The sequence below is a fragment of the Homo sapiens genome, chromosome 3, assembly GCF_000001405.40.
Source record: "Homo sapiens chromosome 3, GRCh38.p14 Primary Assembly".
Lineage (NCBI taxonomy): Eukaryota > Metazoa > Chordata > Mammalia > Primates > Hominidae > Homo > Homo sapiens.
In genome coordinates, this window is record NC_000003.12 from 51,083,710 (window position 1) to 51,100,732 (window position 17,023).

Below are 17,023 nucleotides of genomic sequence, written 5' to 3' on the forward strand. Positions count from 1 at the left end.
CAGTGGCTCATGACTATAATCCCAGCACTTTAGGAGGCCAAGGCAGGTGGATCACCTGAGGCCAAGAGTTCGAGACCAGCCTGACCAACATGGTGAAACCTTGTCTCTACTAAAAATAGAAAAAATTAACCAGGCATGGTGATGTGCACCTGTAGGCCCAGCTACTTGGGAGACTGAGGCAGGAGAATCACTTGAACCCAGGAGGCGAAGGTTGCAGTGAGCCAAGATCACACCACTGTACTCCAGCCTGGGCGACAGAGCGAGACTCCATCTCAAATAAATAAATAAATAAATAAAAGAGTTTCTGAATCTGAAGACAGGTTTTTTGACATCAATCAGATGAAAAGAAAAAAGAGTAAAGAAAGCTTATGTGACATACAGGGTACCAGAAGCAAATAAATATTCAAATTTTGGCAGTTTCACAAGGAGAAGGCATGGGCAAAGATATAGAAAACCTGCTAATGAGATAATAGCTGAAAACTTCACAAGTCTTGCAAGAGATAAAGACATCCAAATACAGAAAGCTCAAATATCCCCAAATAGATGTAATCTAATAAGATTTTAAAGGTATATATATATAATCAAACTATTAAAAATCAAAGACAAATAATTCTAAAAACAGTTAAAAGCATCATGTCACATATAAGGGAATCTCCACCAGACTAATAGCACATTTCTCAGCAGAAACCTTCTAGACCAGGAGAGAATGGGATGACAGATTCAAAGTTCTGGGGTGAGGGATTGGTGGGGGCATGAGGGGAATTGTCAGCCAAGAATACTATACCCAACAAAGCTATCCTTAAATGGAGGTTACATAAAATCTTTCTAGACAAGCAAAAACTGAGGGAATTCATCACCACTGGACCAGTCCTACAAGAAATGTTTCAGGGATTTCTGTATCTGGAAGCGAAAGGACAATGTCTACCATCATGAAAACACACAAAAGTATAAAGCTTACTGGTAGCATACATATACAAATGAGAAAGGAGTTAAACATTACCATCATAAAAAAACCACCAAATCTTAAAGGCAAACAAGAAACAAGGAAGAAAGAAATGAAGAATGTATTAAACAATCACAAAATAATTAACAAAACAACAGGAGTGAGTCCTTACCTGTTACTAACAACCTTGAATATGAACTGTTTAAATTCTCCAATTAAAAAATATAGACTGCCTGAATTGATTTTAAAAATCAAGACCCAACTATATGTTCTCTACAAAAAACTCAGTTTACCTATAACGACACACATAGACTGAAAGTGAAGGGATGGAAAAAAAATTCCATGCAAATAGAAACCTAAAGCATGCAATAATAGCTATACTTATATCAGAGAAAATGGACTTTACATCAAAAAACATAAAAATAGATAAGGTCATTATGTAATGATAAAGGGATCAATTCAGCAAGAGGATATAACAGTTGTAAATATATGTGCATCCAATACCACAGCACCCAGATATATAAGCAAATACTATCAGAGCAAAAGAGTTCAACAGACCCCAATGCATTAATAGTTGGGGACTTCAGCATTACACTTTCAGCACTGGACAGATTATCCAGACAGAAAGTCAACAAACATCAGGCTTACTCTGTTCTATAGAACAAATGTACTTAACAGACATTACAAAATATTTCATTCAACAGTATAGAGCACATATTTTTCTCATCAGCACATGGAACATACTCCAGGATACAGCACATATTAGGCCACAAACAAGTCTCAACAAATTTTGAAAAATCAAAATCATGTCAAGTATCTTCTCAGACCACAGGGAAATAAAACTAGAAATCAATAAAAAGAGGAACTTTGTAAACTGTATAAACACATGGAAATTAAACAGCATGCTCCTGAATAAGCAATGAGTGAATGAACAAATTAAAAAGGAAATTAAAAACTTGCTTGAAACAAGTGAAAATGGAAACACAACATATCCAAATTCTGTGAGATATGGCAAAAGCAGTACTAAGAGGGAAGTTTACAGTAATAAATACCTACATAAAAATTGGAAAGATTTCAAATAAACAACCTAATGGTGTGCCTTAAGGACCCCAAAAAAGGAAAAACAAACTAAACCTAAAGTTAGTAGAAATAAGTAATAAAGATCAGAGCAGAACTAAACAAAATAGAGCTGAAAAAAACAATACAAAGGATCAGCGAAACAAAAAGTTGGTTTTCTGAAAAGATAAAATCGATAAACCACTAGACTAATCGAGAAAAAAGAAGGTCCATGCTGAGACCGGTTCAGTCAGGGATACCCTAACCCAGTGACACTAGAGGAATTAAAGACACACACACAGAAATATAGAGGTGTGGAGTGGGAAATCAGGAGTCTCACAGCCTTCAGAGCTGAGAGCCTCAAACAGAGATTTACCCATGTATTTCTTAACAGCAAGCCAGTGATAAGCATTGTTTCTATAGATTATAGATTAACTAAAAGTATTCCTTATGGGAAACAAAGGGATGGGCCAAAATAAAGGGATGGGTTTGGCTAGTTATCTGCAGCAGGAGCATGTCCTTAAGGCACAGATCGCTCATGCTATTGTTTGTGATATAAGAACGCCTTTAAGTGGTTTTCCACCCTGGATGGGCCAGGTGTTCCTTGCCCTCATTCTAGTAAACCCACAACCTTCCAGTGTGGGCATCATGGCCATCATGAACATGTCGCAGTGCTGCACAGATTTTGTTTATGGCCAGTTTTGGGGCCAGTTTATGGCCAGATTTTAGGGTGTTCCCAGCAGTCCAAAATAAAGTCAGAAACAAAAAAGGATACATTGTGGCTGATGCCACAGAAGTACACAGGATCAGCCAGCATGGTGGCTCACTCCTGGAGTCCCAGCACTTTGGGAGGCCAAGGCAGGTGGATCACCTGAGGTCAGGAGTTCAAGACCAGACTGGCCAACATGGCAAAACCCCATGTCTACTAAAAATACAAAAATTAGCTGATCATGGTGGCACATATCTGTAATCCCAGCTACTCAGGAGGCTGAGGCAGGAGAATCACCTGAACCCAGGAGGTGGAGGTTGCAGTGAGCCAAGATTCTGCCACTGCACTCCAGCCTGGGCGACAGAGTGAGACTCATCCCAAAAACAAAACAAAACAAAACAAGGAATCATTAGAGACTACTATGAACAATTATATGCAAACATATTGGAAAACCTAGAGGAAATGGATTAATTCCTGGACACACACAATCTACCAAGATTGAATCATGAAGAAATGAAATGCTTGAATAGACCAGTAACAAGAAAAGAGATCAAATCAGTAATAAAAAGTCATTCAGCAAAGAAAACCCCAGAACTGTATGGCTCTACTGCTGAATTCTACCAAACTTATAAGGAAGAACTAACACAAGCTCTTTTCAAACTGTTCCAAAAAATTGAGGCAGAGAGAATTCATCCTAACTCATTCTATGAGACCAGCGTTACACATTACACTGATAGTAAGTCAGACAAGGACACAAGAAAAAAAAGATGGGCCAGTATCCTTGATGAACACAATAAATACAGACACAAAAATCCTCAGCAAAATACTAGCAAATTGAATCCAACAACATGTCAAAAAGATTATAAACCATAATCAAATGGAATTTATCCCAGTGATGCAAGCGTGGTTCAACATGTGCAAATCAATCAGTGTGATACATCACATTGACAGAATGAAGGACAAAAACAATATGATCATCTCAATAGTCACAGAAAAAGCATTTGATAAAATTTAACATCTTTTCCTGTTAAAAACTCTCAACAAGTTAGACATGGAAGGAAAATACCTCAGCATAAAAGCTGTATATGACACATCCACAGCTGACATCATACTGAATGAGGAAAAGCTGAAATACTTTCCTCTAAGACTGGAACAAGACAAAGATACCCACTTTTAATTCTCCTATTCAACATAGTACTTGAAGTCCTAGCCAGAGCAATCAAGCAAGAGAAAGAAATAAAAGGCATTTAAATTGGAAAGGTAGAAGTCAAATTGTTCCTCTTTGTAGATGATATAATCTTATATATAGAAAAACCTAAAGACTACTAAAAATCTCTTAGAACTGATATACTGATATACTTAGAACTCTTATACACTGTTGGTGGGAATGTAAATTAGTACAGCCACTATGGAAAACAGTATGAGACTTCCCAAAAAACAAAACAGAACCACCATTTGATCCAGCAGTCCTACTACTGGATATTTATCAAAAAGAAAGAAAAATCAGTATATAAATGAGACACCAGCACCCTTGTGTTTATTGCAGCACTGTTCACAATAGCCAAGATATAGAATTAATCTAAGTGTTTGTTAACAGATGAAAGGATGAAGAAAATGTGGCATATATGCACAATGGAATACTATTCTGCCATAAAAAGAATGAAATACTGTCATTTGTAGCAGCATGGATGGAACTAGAGGTCAATATGTTAAATGAAATAAGCCGGGCACAGAAAGACAAATATCTCATGTTCTATCATATGTAGGGGCTAAAAAACAAAAACAAAAACAAAAAAATGTGCATCTCTTGGAGATAGGGAATAAAAAAGTGGTTACCAAAGGTTGAGAATCGTGGGGTGGTGGGGTTGAAGAGAGGTTGCTCAGCAAATACAAACATCTAGTTAGAAGGAATAAGTTCTCGTGTTTGATAGCACAGTGGGGTGAGTGTAGTTAACAGTAATTTATTCTACATTTCAAAGTAGCTAGAAGAGAAGATTTGAAATGTTCCCAACAGAAAGAAATGATAAATGTTTGAGGCAATGAATATTCTAAATACCCTGATTTGATAATTATACATTGTATGCATGTATCAAAATATCACATGTACTTCATAAATATTTTAAAATATTATGTATCAATTTAAACATTTTTAAAAAATTGAAAACCTAGGATTCTCACTTCTGCACTTAGGTCCCTAACTTCTATATCATAGTGATGCTCATGTAATTTGAGCTTCACAATAACTTTGTAAGGAAGATAATACAGGCTCTTATCTGAATTTTATGTTCAGGAAAATGTCTCCTGGAGAGATTAAGTGATTTGTCTGAAATTTCACAGTCTTTGAGTGGCAAAGCTTGAATTAGAATCTGCTTCTTCTCATTTCAGCCAGCCAGCAGTAAAGGAACAGCATGGGGAAGTGTTTGGGAGGGAGCCCTTTATTGTTAAAGGCATCATTGTGGAAAGTCTGAAGAAGCTGGATCAGGCAGCTCAGAAAGTGGTACAGTATATGGAGAGGACAGTGGCAAAGCAAAAATTTAGTACCAGGCACCGACTTGTGACTTGTCTGTTAGTCAGATCTGGAAGGGCTCAGGTTTGAATCTGGATTTTGCCACTTTCTTGCTATGTGACCTTCAGCAAATTACGTCCATACTCTAAGCCTTAGTTGTCTCCACCAAATACGAATAACACTTATTTTACAAAGTTATCAGAATTAAATGAGATCATGAATATAAAAGGCATAGCAGACTGCCCAGCATATAGAAAGTTCTTAATAAAATTTAGTTTCTTTCCCGGTAGAGTTTATTTTTCTTTCCTTCTTTCCATAGCATTTATCTAGCCGGCAGAGTGTACAGCAAAGCACATCCCAGGTAAGCGGCTTTCCTGGGTCTTCCAGCCTTTCCCCTCAACTTTTTCTGTTAAGAGATTACAACATATGAATACACCAGGAAATGACAGACACCACTGACTTCTTGACTGTGTGGTGTCTTTATCTGAGGAGCTTTGACCTCTAAACAGTTTTGGCCAGACTCTACTTCTACTGTGCAGATTTGCATAAGCACAATTAAAGCAGACTGAAACTAAAATGAATCAGTCTGGGAGAAAATAAAAATGTTATTTAGAATGGTAACTATTACGAGGTAACAGTGTAAATCAAGCGCATTGGGGTCATAATGGCATTTCTTTAAAATGAGTTTGAAAATGGTTTTCCGGGCTGGGCGTGGTGGCTCATGCCTGTAATCCCAGCACATTGGGAGGCCAAGGCAGGTGGATCACCTGAAGTCAGGAGTTTGAGACCAGCCTGGTCAACATGGTGAAACCTACTAAAAATAAAAAAATTAGCTGGGCATGATGGTGGGTGCCTGTAATCCCAGCTACTCAGGAGGCTGAGGGAGGAGAATTGCTTGAACCCGGGAGTAGAGTGCAGTGAGCCGAGATCATGCTACTGCACTCCAGTCTGGGTGACAGAGTGAGACTCTGTCTCAAAAAAAAAAAAAAAAAAAAAAAGGAAAAAGAAAATGGTTTCCTGGAGAACTAAGATATTTGTCACCTGGTGGAGATTTTTAGTTCACTTGTAAGTTGGAATTACTGTCCCTATATTTCTTCACTGTTTACTCCTCCCAGCTGCTTGCTTGCCCACCTCAACCCAAGTCTGTTGATGCAGCATCCCCTACAAGCAGAGAAAACATCTTCAGTTTCTCAAATAATCTCCTTCAGTAGTGTGAAAAGAGTTTGTAATTTAGTTTCCACTTTTTAATGATCAATATAAAAAATAACTAAAATAAAAATCACTGGGTTTTTTTCTTCCTCATTAGGTAGATACAATGCGCCCACGTCATGGGGAAACATGTCGGATGCCAGTGCCACATCACTTCTTCCTCAGCCTGAAGAGTTTCACTTACAATACTATTGGGGAAGATACCGATGTCTTCTTTTCCTTATATGACATGAGGGAAGGCAAGCAGATCAGGTGAGAGTCACTGGAAATTCTGGTGAGGTTCTATGTTAGGATGGTATGGGTCATAGGCATCTCTGGCCATCAGAGAAGACAGATGCACAGAAGAGGCAAAACAAGATAAAGTAACCTCATCTCATTAGCTAGGAGTTTTGGCCCCAATTCCCTGTGTGCCCTTAAGTCACGTAAACCATACCATGGGTGGCTGCCTTTTTTATGACTTTTTCCACATAGAAGCTCAAAATCGAGTCTTGGCTATCACCACCTCACAGAGAGAAAAGGATGCATCTATTTAATACCACAAAAAAGGCATAGGAGAAACATAGAACCAAACAAATGCAGCAGAGACACACAGCTCCAGAGTGCAGGAAGCCCTGGGCCTTGGCTTGCTGCATGTGGAAGAGAGGGTTTGAAGAAAAAGGGGGCTGATGGTGTCTTGTCTGGGCAGCCCATGAAAGGAGAGCATCTTCTGAGTTTCTTTTATATTGCTTGGGAACTTCTTGTGTTAGGAGTGCTTTATGGCTTTTACTTGCTTTAGTACTTAAAATTCGAAAGCAGATTTTTCACTTTTCCAATTATATATTATATGTGGGAAAATTAGAAATGGAAGTTATAACAGAATGCAAAAGAAAAACAGTTAATTTATATGCCCCACAGTGCCTCTGATCTTGACAAAAATATTAATACACTATGCTTTACTTTGGCATAGGAATAAAATGATGCACCCATTGATCAGGACATGTGAATTTTCCTTATCACCAATGGCTCCTAGTATGTGCCCTTGGGAAAGTTATTGTAGAGAAGGTAGTAGTGGTATTGATGAAAGCTAAAACTGTTGCATGTAGGCAAGACTACAGGCCAGGGCTGTGTGGATATAGATTCTGGCTGCTCTTCTTTTCCTACTATCCAGATGTTTGTAAACTTTATTTGTGTGTGTGAGAGTGTGTATGTGTGTGTAAAAATCCTTTCTTCAAGCTACATTTTATGAAAAAGTCCAATATATGAAACAGATAAAACTATTCCATTATTGTGGCCCAGGAGCAATGGCTCACGACTGTAATGCCACCACTTTGGGAGGCCGAGGAGGGCGAATCACGAAGTCAGGAGTTTGAGACCAGCCTGACCAACATAGTGAAACCCCATCTCTACCAAAAATACAAAAAATTAGCTGGGCGTGGTGGCGGGCTCCTGTAAGCCCAGCTATTCAGGAGGCTGAGGCAGGAAAATCGCTTCAACCTGGGAGGCGGAGGTTGCACTGAGCCGGGATGGTGCCACTGCACTATAGCCCAGCTGACAGTGTGAGACTTGGTCTCAAAAAAAAAAAAAAAAAAAAGATGGATTGTTGGCAAGATGGCTGAATAGGAACAGCTCTGGTCTGCAGCTCCCAGCAAGATTGATGCAGAAGGCGGGTGATTTCTGCATTTCAGCCGAGGTACCCGGTTCATCTCACTGGGACTGGTTGGACAGTGGGTGCAGCCCATGGAGGGCAAGCCGAAGCAGGGTGGCGCATTGCCTCACCTGGGAAGTGCAAGGGGTTGGGGAATTTTCTCCCCTACCCAAGGGGAGCCATGAGGTACTGAGCCTGACGAACTGTGCACTCTGGCCCAGATAGTGCGCTTGTCCCATGGTCTTTGCAACCCGCAGACCAGGAGATTCCCTCTGGTGCCTAACACATCAGAGACCTGGGTTTCAAGCACAAAACTGGGTAGCTGTTTGAGCAGGCACCAAACTAGCTGCAGGAGTTTGTTTTTCTCCATAACCCATTGGCACCTGGAACGCCAGTGATACAGAACTGTTCACTCCTCTGGAAAGGGGTGCTGAAGCCAGGAAGCCAAGTGGTCTGGTTTGGCAGGTCCCACCCCCATGGAGCCCAGCAAACTAAAAGATTCACTGGCTTGAAATTCTCACTGCCAGCACAGCAGCAGACTGAGATCGACCTGGGATGCTCGAGCTTGGTTGGGGGAGGGACATCTGCCATTACTGAGGCTTGAGTAGGTGGTTTTATGCTCACGGTGTAAACAAAGCCGCTGGGAAGTTTGAACTGGGCGGAGCCCACTGCAGCTCAGTAAGGCTGCTGTGGCCAGACTGCCAGATTTCTCCTCTCTGGGCAGGGCATCTCTGAAAAAAAGGCAGCAGCCCCAGTCAGGGACTTATAGATAAAACCCCCATCTCCCTGGGACAGAGCACCTGGGGGAAGGAGCAGCTGTGGGCGCAGCTTCAGCAGACTTTAGTTTCCCTGCCTGATGGCTCTGAAGAGAGCAGCGGACCTCCTAGCACAGCGTTTGAGCTCTGCTAAGGGTCAGACTGCCTCCTCAAGTGGGTCCCTGACCCCCATATATCCTGACTGGGAGACACCTCCCAGTAAGGGCCTACAGACACCTTATACAAGAGAGCTCTGGCTGGCATCTGGCAGTTGCCCCTCTGGGACGAAGCTTCCAGACGAAAGAACAGGCAGCAATTTAATCCATCTTGAGTTAATTTTTGTATAAGGTGTAAGGAACGGGTTCCGTTGCAGTTTTCTGCATATGGCTAGCCAGTTTTCCCGACACCATTTATTAAATAGGGAATCATTTCCCCATTGCTTGTTTGTGTTAAGTTTGTCAAAGATCAAATGGTTGTAGATGTGTGGTGTTATTTCTGAGGCCTCTCTTCTGTTCCATTGGCCTATATATCCGTTTTGGTACCAGTAACACGATGTTTTGGTTACCGTAGCCTTGTAGTATAGTTTGAAGTCAGAGAGCATGATGCCTCTGGCTTGGTTCTTTTTGCTTAGGATTGTCTTGGCTATGCAGGCTCTTTTTTGGTTCCATATGAAATTTAAAGTAGTTTTTTCTAATTCTGTGAAGAAAGTCAGTAGTAGCTTGATGGGGATAGCATTGAATCTATAAATTACTTCAGGCAGTATGGCCATTTTCATTATATTGATTCTTCCCATCCATGAGCAAATGGAATGTTTTTCCATTTGTTTGTGTCCTCTCTGATTTCCTTGAGCAGTGGTTTGTAGTTCTCCATGCAGAGGTCCTTCACATCCCTTGTAAGTTGTATTCCTAGGTATTTTATTGTCTTTGTAGCAATTGTGAATTGGAGTTCACTCGTGATTTTGCTCTCTGCTCATCTATTATTGGTGTATAGGAATGCTTGTGATGTTTGCACATTGATTTTGTATCCTGAGACTTTGCTGAAGTTACTTATCAGCTTAAGGAGATTTTGGGCTGAGACGATGGGGTTTTCTAAATTTACAATCATGTCATCTGCAAACAGAGACAATTTGACTTCCTCTCTTTCCTTTATTTCTTTCTCTTGCCTGATTGCCCTGGCCAGAACTTCTAATACTATGTTGAATAGGAGTGGTGAGAGGGCATCCTTGTCTTGTGCCAGTTTTCAAAGGGAATGCTTCCAGCTTTTGCCCATTCAGTATGATACTGGCTCTGGGTTTGTCATAAATAGCTCTTACTATTTTGAGATATGTTACATCAATACCTAGTTTGTTCAGAGTTTTTAGCATGAAGCAGTGTTTAATTTTATCGAAGGCCTTTTCTGCATCTATTGAGATAAACATGTGGTTTTTGTCATTGGTTCTGTTTATGTGATGGATTACGTTTATTGATATGCATATGTTGAACCAGCCTTGCCTCCCAGGGATGAAGCCAACTTGATCATGGTGGATAAGCTTTTTGATATGCTGCTGGAGTTGGTTTTGCCAGTATTTTATTGAAGATTTTTGCATCGATGTTCATCAGGGATATTGGCCCGAAATTTTCTTTTTTTGTTGTGTCTCTGCCAGGTTTTGGTATCAGGATGATGCTGGCCTCATAAAATGACTTAGGGATGATTCCCTCTTTTTCTGTTTATTGGAATAGTTTCAAAAGGAATGGTACCAGCTCCTCTTTGTGTCTGTGGTAGAATTCGGCTGTGAATCTCTCTGGTCCTGGGCTTATTTTGGTTGGTAGGCTACTAATTACTGCCTCCATTTCAGAACTTGTTGTTGGTCTGTTTAGGGATTCGACTTCTTCTGGGTTTAGTCTTGGGAGGTGTGTGTCCAGGAATTTATCCATTTTTTCTATATTTTCCTAGTTTATTTGTGTAGAGATATTTATAGTATTCTCTGATGGTAGTTTGTATTTTTGTGCAATAAGTGGTGATATCCCCTTTATCATTTTTTATTGTGTCTATTTCACTTTTCTCTTTTCTTCTTTATTAGTCTGGCTAGAGGTCTATTTTGTTGATCTTTACAAAAAAATGAACTCCTGGATTCATTGATTTTTTTGAAGAGTTTTTTGTGTCTCTATCTCCTTCAATTCTGTCCTGATCTTAGTTATTTCTTGTCTTCTGCTTGGTTTTGAATTTGCTTGGTCTTGCTTTACTAGTTCTTTTAATTGTGATGTTAGGGCATAGATTTTAGATATCTCCCACTATTATTGTGTGGGAGTCTAAGTCTCTTTGTAGGTCTCTAAGAACTTGCTTTATGAATCTGGGTGCTCCTGTATTGGGTGCATATATATTTAGGATAGTTAGCTCTTCTTGTTGTATTGATCCCTTTACCATTATGTAATGCCCTTCTTTGTCTTTTTTGATCTTTGTTGGCTTAAAGTCTGTTTTATAAGAGACTAGGATTTCAACTCCTGCTTTTTTTTTTTTTTACTTTCTATTTGCTTGGTAAATATTGCTCCATACCTTTCTTTTGAGCCTATGTGTGTCTTTGCATGTGAGAATGGTCTCCTGCTGGGTCTTGACTCTTTATCCAATTTACCAGTCTGTGTCTTTTAATTGGATCATTTAGCCTGTTTACATTTAAGGTTAACATTGTTATGTGTGAATTTGATCCTGTCATTATGATGCTAGCTGGTTATTTTGCCCATTCGTTGATACAGTTTCTTCATAGTGTGGATGGTCTTTACAATTTGGTATGTTTTTGCAGTGGCTGATACTGGTTTTTCCTTTCCATATTTAGTGCTTCCTTCAGGAGCCCTTGTAAGGCAGGCTTGGTGGTGACAAAATCTCTCAGCAATTGCTTGTCTGTAAAGGATTTTATTTCTCTTTTGCTTATGAAGCTTAGTGTGGCTGGATATAAAATTCTGGGTTGAAAATTCTTTAAGAATGTTGACTAGAGCTTCAACCACAGCCCTCCTTGGGGTATTAAAAAAGCCTGGAACTGACAACACCAGAATCCAGAATCTCCCAGTTTCTTAATACCAACTTGATGGTGGAATTTGCATTGTCTAGTGCAAAATGCAGCCCTTTTAACATTTACATTTGATCTTTATCTTCTGGTTATACAGATTACTTTATCTAATTTTACCTGTTATTTGTTTTAAAGCTTTTCACCCCATCTTACCCAACTTTTAGTGGAGAAAGGTAATACTCAAAAGCTCTCTCAATTCTTATAACAGCATATAAAACATTTCATGCTCATTAAACTAACACCCTTCATTCTCTCATTCTTTTCAAATGTCAATCCTTAAGTGACATAAATAAGGTTAGCAAAAAAAAAAAAAAAAAAAAAAAAAGAATGTTGACTATTGGCCCCCATGCTCTCTGGCAAAAAAAAAAAAAAAAGAATGTTGACTATTGGCCCCCACGCTCTCTGGCTTGTAAAGCTTCTGCAGAGAGATCCACTGTTAGTCTGATGGGCTTCCCTTTGTGGGTAACCCGACCTTTTCCTCTGGTTGCCTTTAACATTTTTTTCTTCATCTCAACCTTGGTGAATCTGACGATTATGTGTCTTGGGGTTGCTCTTGTGTCTTGGGGTTGCTCTTCTCAAGGAGTATCTTTGTGGTGTTCTCTATATTTCCTGAATTTGAATGTTGGCCTTTCTTACTAGGTTGGGGAAGTTCTCCTGCATAATATCCTGAAGAGTGTTTTCCAACTTGGTTCCATTCTCCCCGTCACTTTCAGGTACACCAATCAAACATAGGTTTGGTTTTTTCACATAGTCCCATATTTCTTGGAGGCTTTTGTTCATTCCTTTTCTTTTCTTTTTTTTTTCTCTAATCTTTTCTTCACACTTTATTTCATTAAGTTGATCTTCAGTCTCTGATATCCTTTCTTCCACTTGATCAATTCGGCTATTGATACTTGTGTATGCTTCACGAAGTGAAGCTGTGCTGTGTTTTTCTGCCCCATCAGGTCATTTATGTTCTTCTCTAAACTGGTTATTGTAGTTAGCAATTCCTCTAATCTTTTTCAAGGTTCTTAGCTTCCTTGCATTGGGTTAGAACATGCTCCTTTAGCTTGGAGGAGTTTGTTATTACCCACCTTCTGAAGCCTACTTCTGTCAATTCACCAAACTCATTCTCTATCCAGTTTTGTTGCCTTGCTGGTGAGGAGTTGTGATCCTTTGGAGAAGAGGCGTTCCGGTTTTTGGAATTTTCAGCCTTTTTGCACTGGGTTTTCCTCATCTTCGTGGATTTATCTACCTTTGATCTTTGATGTTGGTGACCTCCGGATAGGGTTTCTGTGTGGACATCCTTTTTGTTGACGTTGATGCTATTTCTTTCTGTTTGTTAGCTTTCCAGGTCTGCTGGAGTTTGCAGGAGGTCCTTTCTAGACCCTGTTTGCCTGGGTATCACCAGCGGAAGCTGCAGAACAGCAATGTTCCTTCCTCTGGAAGCTTCGTCCCAGAGGGGCACCCACCAGATGCCAGCCAGAGCTCTCCTGTATGAGGTGTCTGTCGACCCCTGCTGGGAGGTGTCTCCCAGTCAGGAGGCACAGGGATCAGGGACCCACTTGAGGAGACAGTCTGTCCCTCAGCAGAGCTCAAGCGCTGTGTTGGGAGATCCGTTGCTGTCTTCAGATTCACAGGCAGGAGCATTTAAGTCTGCTGAAGCTGTGCCCACAGCCACCCCTTCCCCCAGGTGCTCTGTCCCAGGGAGATGGGAGTTTGTTCTGTAAGGCCCTGACTGGGGTTGCTGAGTTTCTTTCATAGATGCCCTTCCCAGAGTGGAGGAATCTAGAGAGGCAGTCTGGCTACAGAGGCTTTGAGGAGCGCAGTGGGCTCCACCCAGTTCGAACTTCCAGGTGGCTTTGTTTACATTGTGACAGGAAAACTGTCTACTCAAGCCTCAGTAATGGTGGCTGGCCCTCCCCTTACCAAGCTCCAGCATCCCAGGTTGAATTCAGAGTGCTCTGCTGGTAGCGAGAATTTCAAGTCTGTGAATCTTAGCTTCCAGGGCTCCATGGGGGTGGGATCTGCTGAGCTAGACCACTTGGCTCCCTGGCTTCAGTCCCCTTTCCAGGAGAGTGAACGGTTCTGTCTCACCTCACTGGCGCTCCAGGCGCCACTGGGGTATGAAAATAAAACTCCTGCAGCTAGCTTGGTGTCTGCCCAAACGGCCGCCTAGTTTTGTGCTTGAAATCCAGGGCCCTGGTGGCGTAGGCACCTGAGGGAATCTCCTGGTCTATGAGTTGCGAAGACCGTGGGGAAAGCGTAGTATCTGGGCCAGAGTGCACTGTCCCTCATGGCACAGTCCCTCACGGCTTTCCTTGGCTAGGGGAGGGAGTTCCCTGACTCCTTGTGCTTCCCTGGTGAGCCAATGCCCAACCCTGCTTCAGCTCACCCTCCATGGGCTATACCCACTGTCTAACCAGCCCCAATGAGATGAGCTGGGTACCTCAATTGGAAATGCAGAAATCATCTGCCTTCTGCGTTGATCTCGCTGGGAGCTGCAGACCAGATCTGTTCCTATTTGACCATCTTGCCAGCCACCGATCGGAGTTTTGCTCTTTTGCCCAGACTGGAGTGCAGTGATGCGATCTCAGCTCACTGTAACATCCGCCTTCCGGTTTCAAGCTGTTCTCCTGCCTCAGCCTCCCGAGCAGCTGGGATTACAGGTGCCCACCACCATGCCCATCTAATTTTTGTATTTTTATTAGAAATGGGGTTTCACCATGTTTGCCAGGCTAATCTTGAACTCCTGACCTCGTGATCTGCCTGCCTTGGCCTCCCAAAATGTTGGGATTACAGGTGTGAGCCACTGTGCCTGGCCCAAAGTCCCATTCTTACTCTCTTGGAGTTTTTTCAGCATTCAGGATACCTTGCATAAACTAAACTTTTTCTTGAAAATCAGTTGCTTCTATAATTGAAATAGAGGGCTCTCCCTGAGAGTCAAGCATTCTACCCAAATGAGATAATCTGCCTCTGTGAAAATCTTAGGGGACCCTGGAGATAAATTTTATTTTAAAATGATGGGCGAGCACTTTTTTATTAAAGCAAACAATTTTGTTTCCCTCTGCAAAAGAGGTTATGTATGTAATGCAGCTAGAGCTTATCTGCAGGATTTAGGCAGTCCACTAATAGACCTGCAATTTAGTCTTGGTCCTTCGACCCTAGGCCCCATCGTATAGTCTAGCCTGTCTTAACTTGGTCCAGGACATAGACTCCAGCTCACTAACCAACATTTTCGCAAAGATTTTCTGTGAGTTCCAGCAGAAATAAGAGAGGAGCTGGTACCTTGTCTCTGGTAACTGTTAACATCACTTTCTTTTTCTACCCTGCTCTCTGGTCTGTCATTGTCAGTATACTTAAATTCCCTAAAAATTACGAGGGGCTAGAGAAATTAATAGTATTCTCTCTTTTTCTTTCTCTTTCTCACACATCCACAAAGAAAGCTAATGATTTCTGTGCCCTATGGATGAGGAGGCCAACAAATGGATGTTTAAGTGAAACTTTATAATCCTGTTGCCCTGCTAAGTTTTTCATCAGTATATTTTGTTGCATAACTCAAAACTGAAAATATAGACAGAATGAATTCAAATAGGGTTTAAAGCTAAATATATTTCATACTAGTGGTCAGACTGTCTTGACATGCTTCTACATATATGCCCAACACATCAGCTCTTACTCGGAAGCATTAAAGTGAAAGTCTTTTGAGAGATAGACACAGTGAAACTTTTACTTTAGATATATACTTTGGCCTGTGGTTAAACCTGCCTTTTTCATCTGAAAATAAGATCAGAAACTGCTGTTCTGTATATGCCATCCTTCATTATGTTCTGAGTCTAACTGTTAGGCTGTGGAAAATTTTTAATGTATCATCCTACAGAGTCTGGATAACAACAGTGAAAGAAAAGATCAGGTTCTTTAGAAAGTTTCACATTGTTTACAAGAAATTTGACTTCTTCTCTGCCTAAAAATACGTAGGACAAAGTAGAGCAGAATGACTGATGCGTCTCACATATCAAAAAAATCCTCTGTGAGGAGAGGAATGTGGAGAATTAAGTGAGATCAGAGGTAGAAGTTACAGTGTTTGGTAAAGTCATTTATTTATGCACCAAATGTTTATTTTTACACCTGCTATGTGCTTGTGCTGTTATAGGCTCTAGTAATATGGCAGTGGATAAAACACACAAAAATCCATGTTCTCATGAAGCTTACATAGTAGGGACAGACAGTAAATAGAAATAAGTAAATTGTATCATATTTGAAGGGATAAGTGTTATGGAATAGAAAAAGTAAAGCATAAGGGAGATTTGCTGTGCTAAATAAGATTGTCAGGGTAGGCCTTACTGAGAAGGTACACCTACTGTGGGGCTACCTTCCAGGGAAGAGACTTAATTTGTCCCATCCTCTCATCCTTTGATCTCTAAATGATTTCTAAATTAATGAGGTGGAGCCAAGGGATCAAATTACTGGCAGCCATGTCACCCTTATTTACTTAAGGATAAATAAAAAAAACTAGATAAAGAAAGAAAGAAAGCCTTTACAGTGACCAGATGACAGACGATGGTGGCTTGGATTCTGGCTATCTTCTAAAGGTAAAGCTGTGCTTATTTTGTTTCTGGTATGGTGGAGTAAGCCCCTGACAGTCTGGCCCTCCTACAGTTAACACTGAGCAAAATCCAAAAACTACCTGACGGTGCTGCCAAATGAATAAAGCAGGCAGATATTGTAAGGCAGTAAAAAGTTGGAGAAAAAGATCAACATGAGGTGAATTTTCTGTTTTTTGTGGTTTTGATCTGAAAGTGAGCTGTAGTCCTAGCATAGTATAGAGTGTCTGAAACTCCATTAGAAAGCCTGCCATATTTTTAGCCTGAGGAACCAAGAGATGGAACCTGGGGCAAGTATGGCCACCAGAGGGAGTTCTGGAGAGAAGAGAGCAGGAAATGGGAATCTCAAATTCTATGTATGAGCTCTACCCATGTCACTGGCTCACCTCTGAACCATGCGTATCCAAGGCAGACGCAAAGCAGCTAGCAACAAAGGCTAAAAGAAAACTGTGATTTGACCCACCACAGGAGAAATGGAGATTATAGATTAAGTCTAATCAAGTTAATTCACCATTAAAACAAAAATACTAATTCTCTTCAGAATATAGCAGAATTCAGATTCTCTACAATGTAACATTTACAAGGTCCAGGATAAAAT

General features: G+C 40.8%; 1 protein-coding gene across 22 annotated transcripts in view; it reads left to right on the forward strand.

The window, feature by feature from the left end:
- DOCK3 (dedicator of cytokinesis 3) overlaps nucleotides 1-17,023 on the forward strand; it is a 709,272-nt gene that overhangs the window by 408,783 nt on the left and 283,466 nt on the right. For all 22 annotated transcript variants that reach the window (XM_005264914.4, NM_004947.5, XM_006713010.4 and 19 more), the window contains exons 8-9: nucleotides 5,534-5,575; nucleotides 6,521-6,675. In XM_005264914.4, the coding sequence (XP_005264971.1) occupies nucleotides 5,534-5,575; nucleotides 6,521-6,675 (197 nt within the window). The remainder of the gene's footprint in view (nucleotides 1-5,533; nucleotides 5,576-6,520; nucleotides 6,676-17,023) is intronic.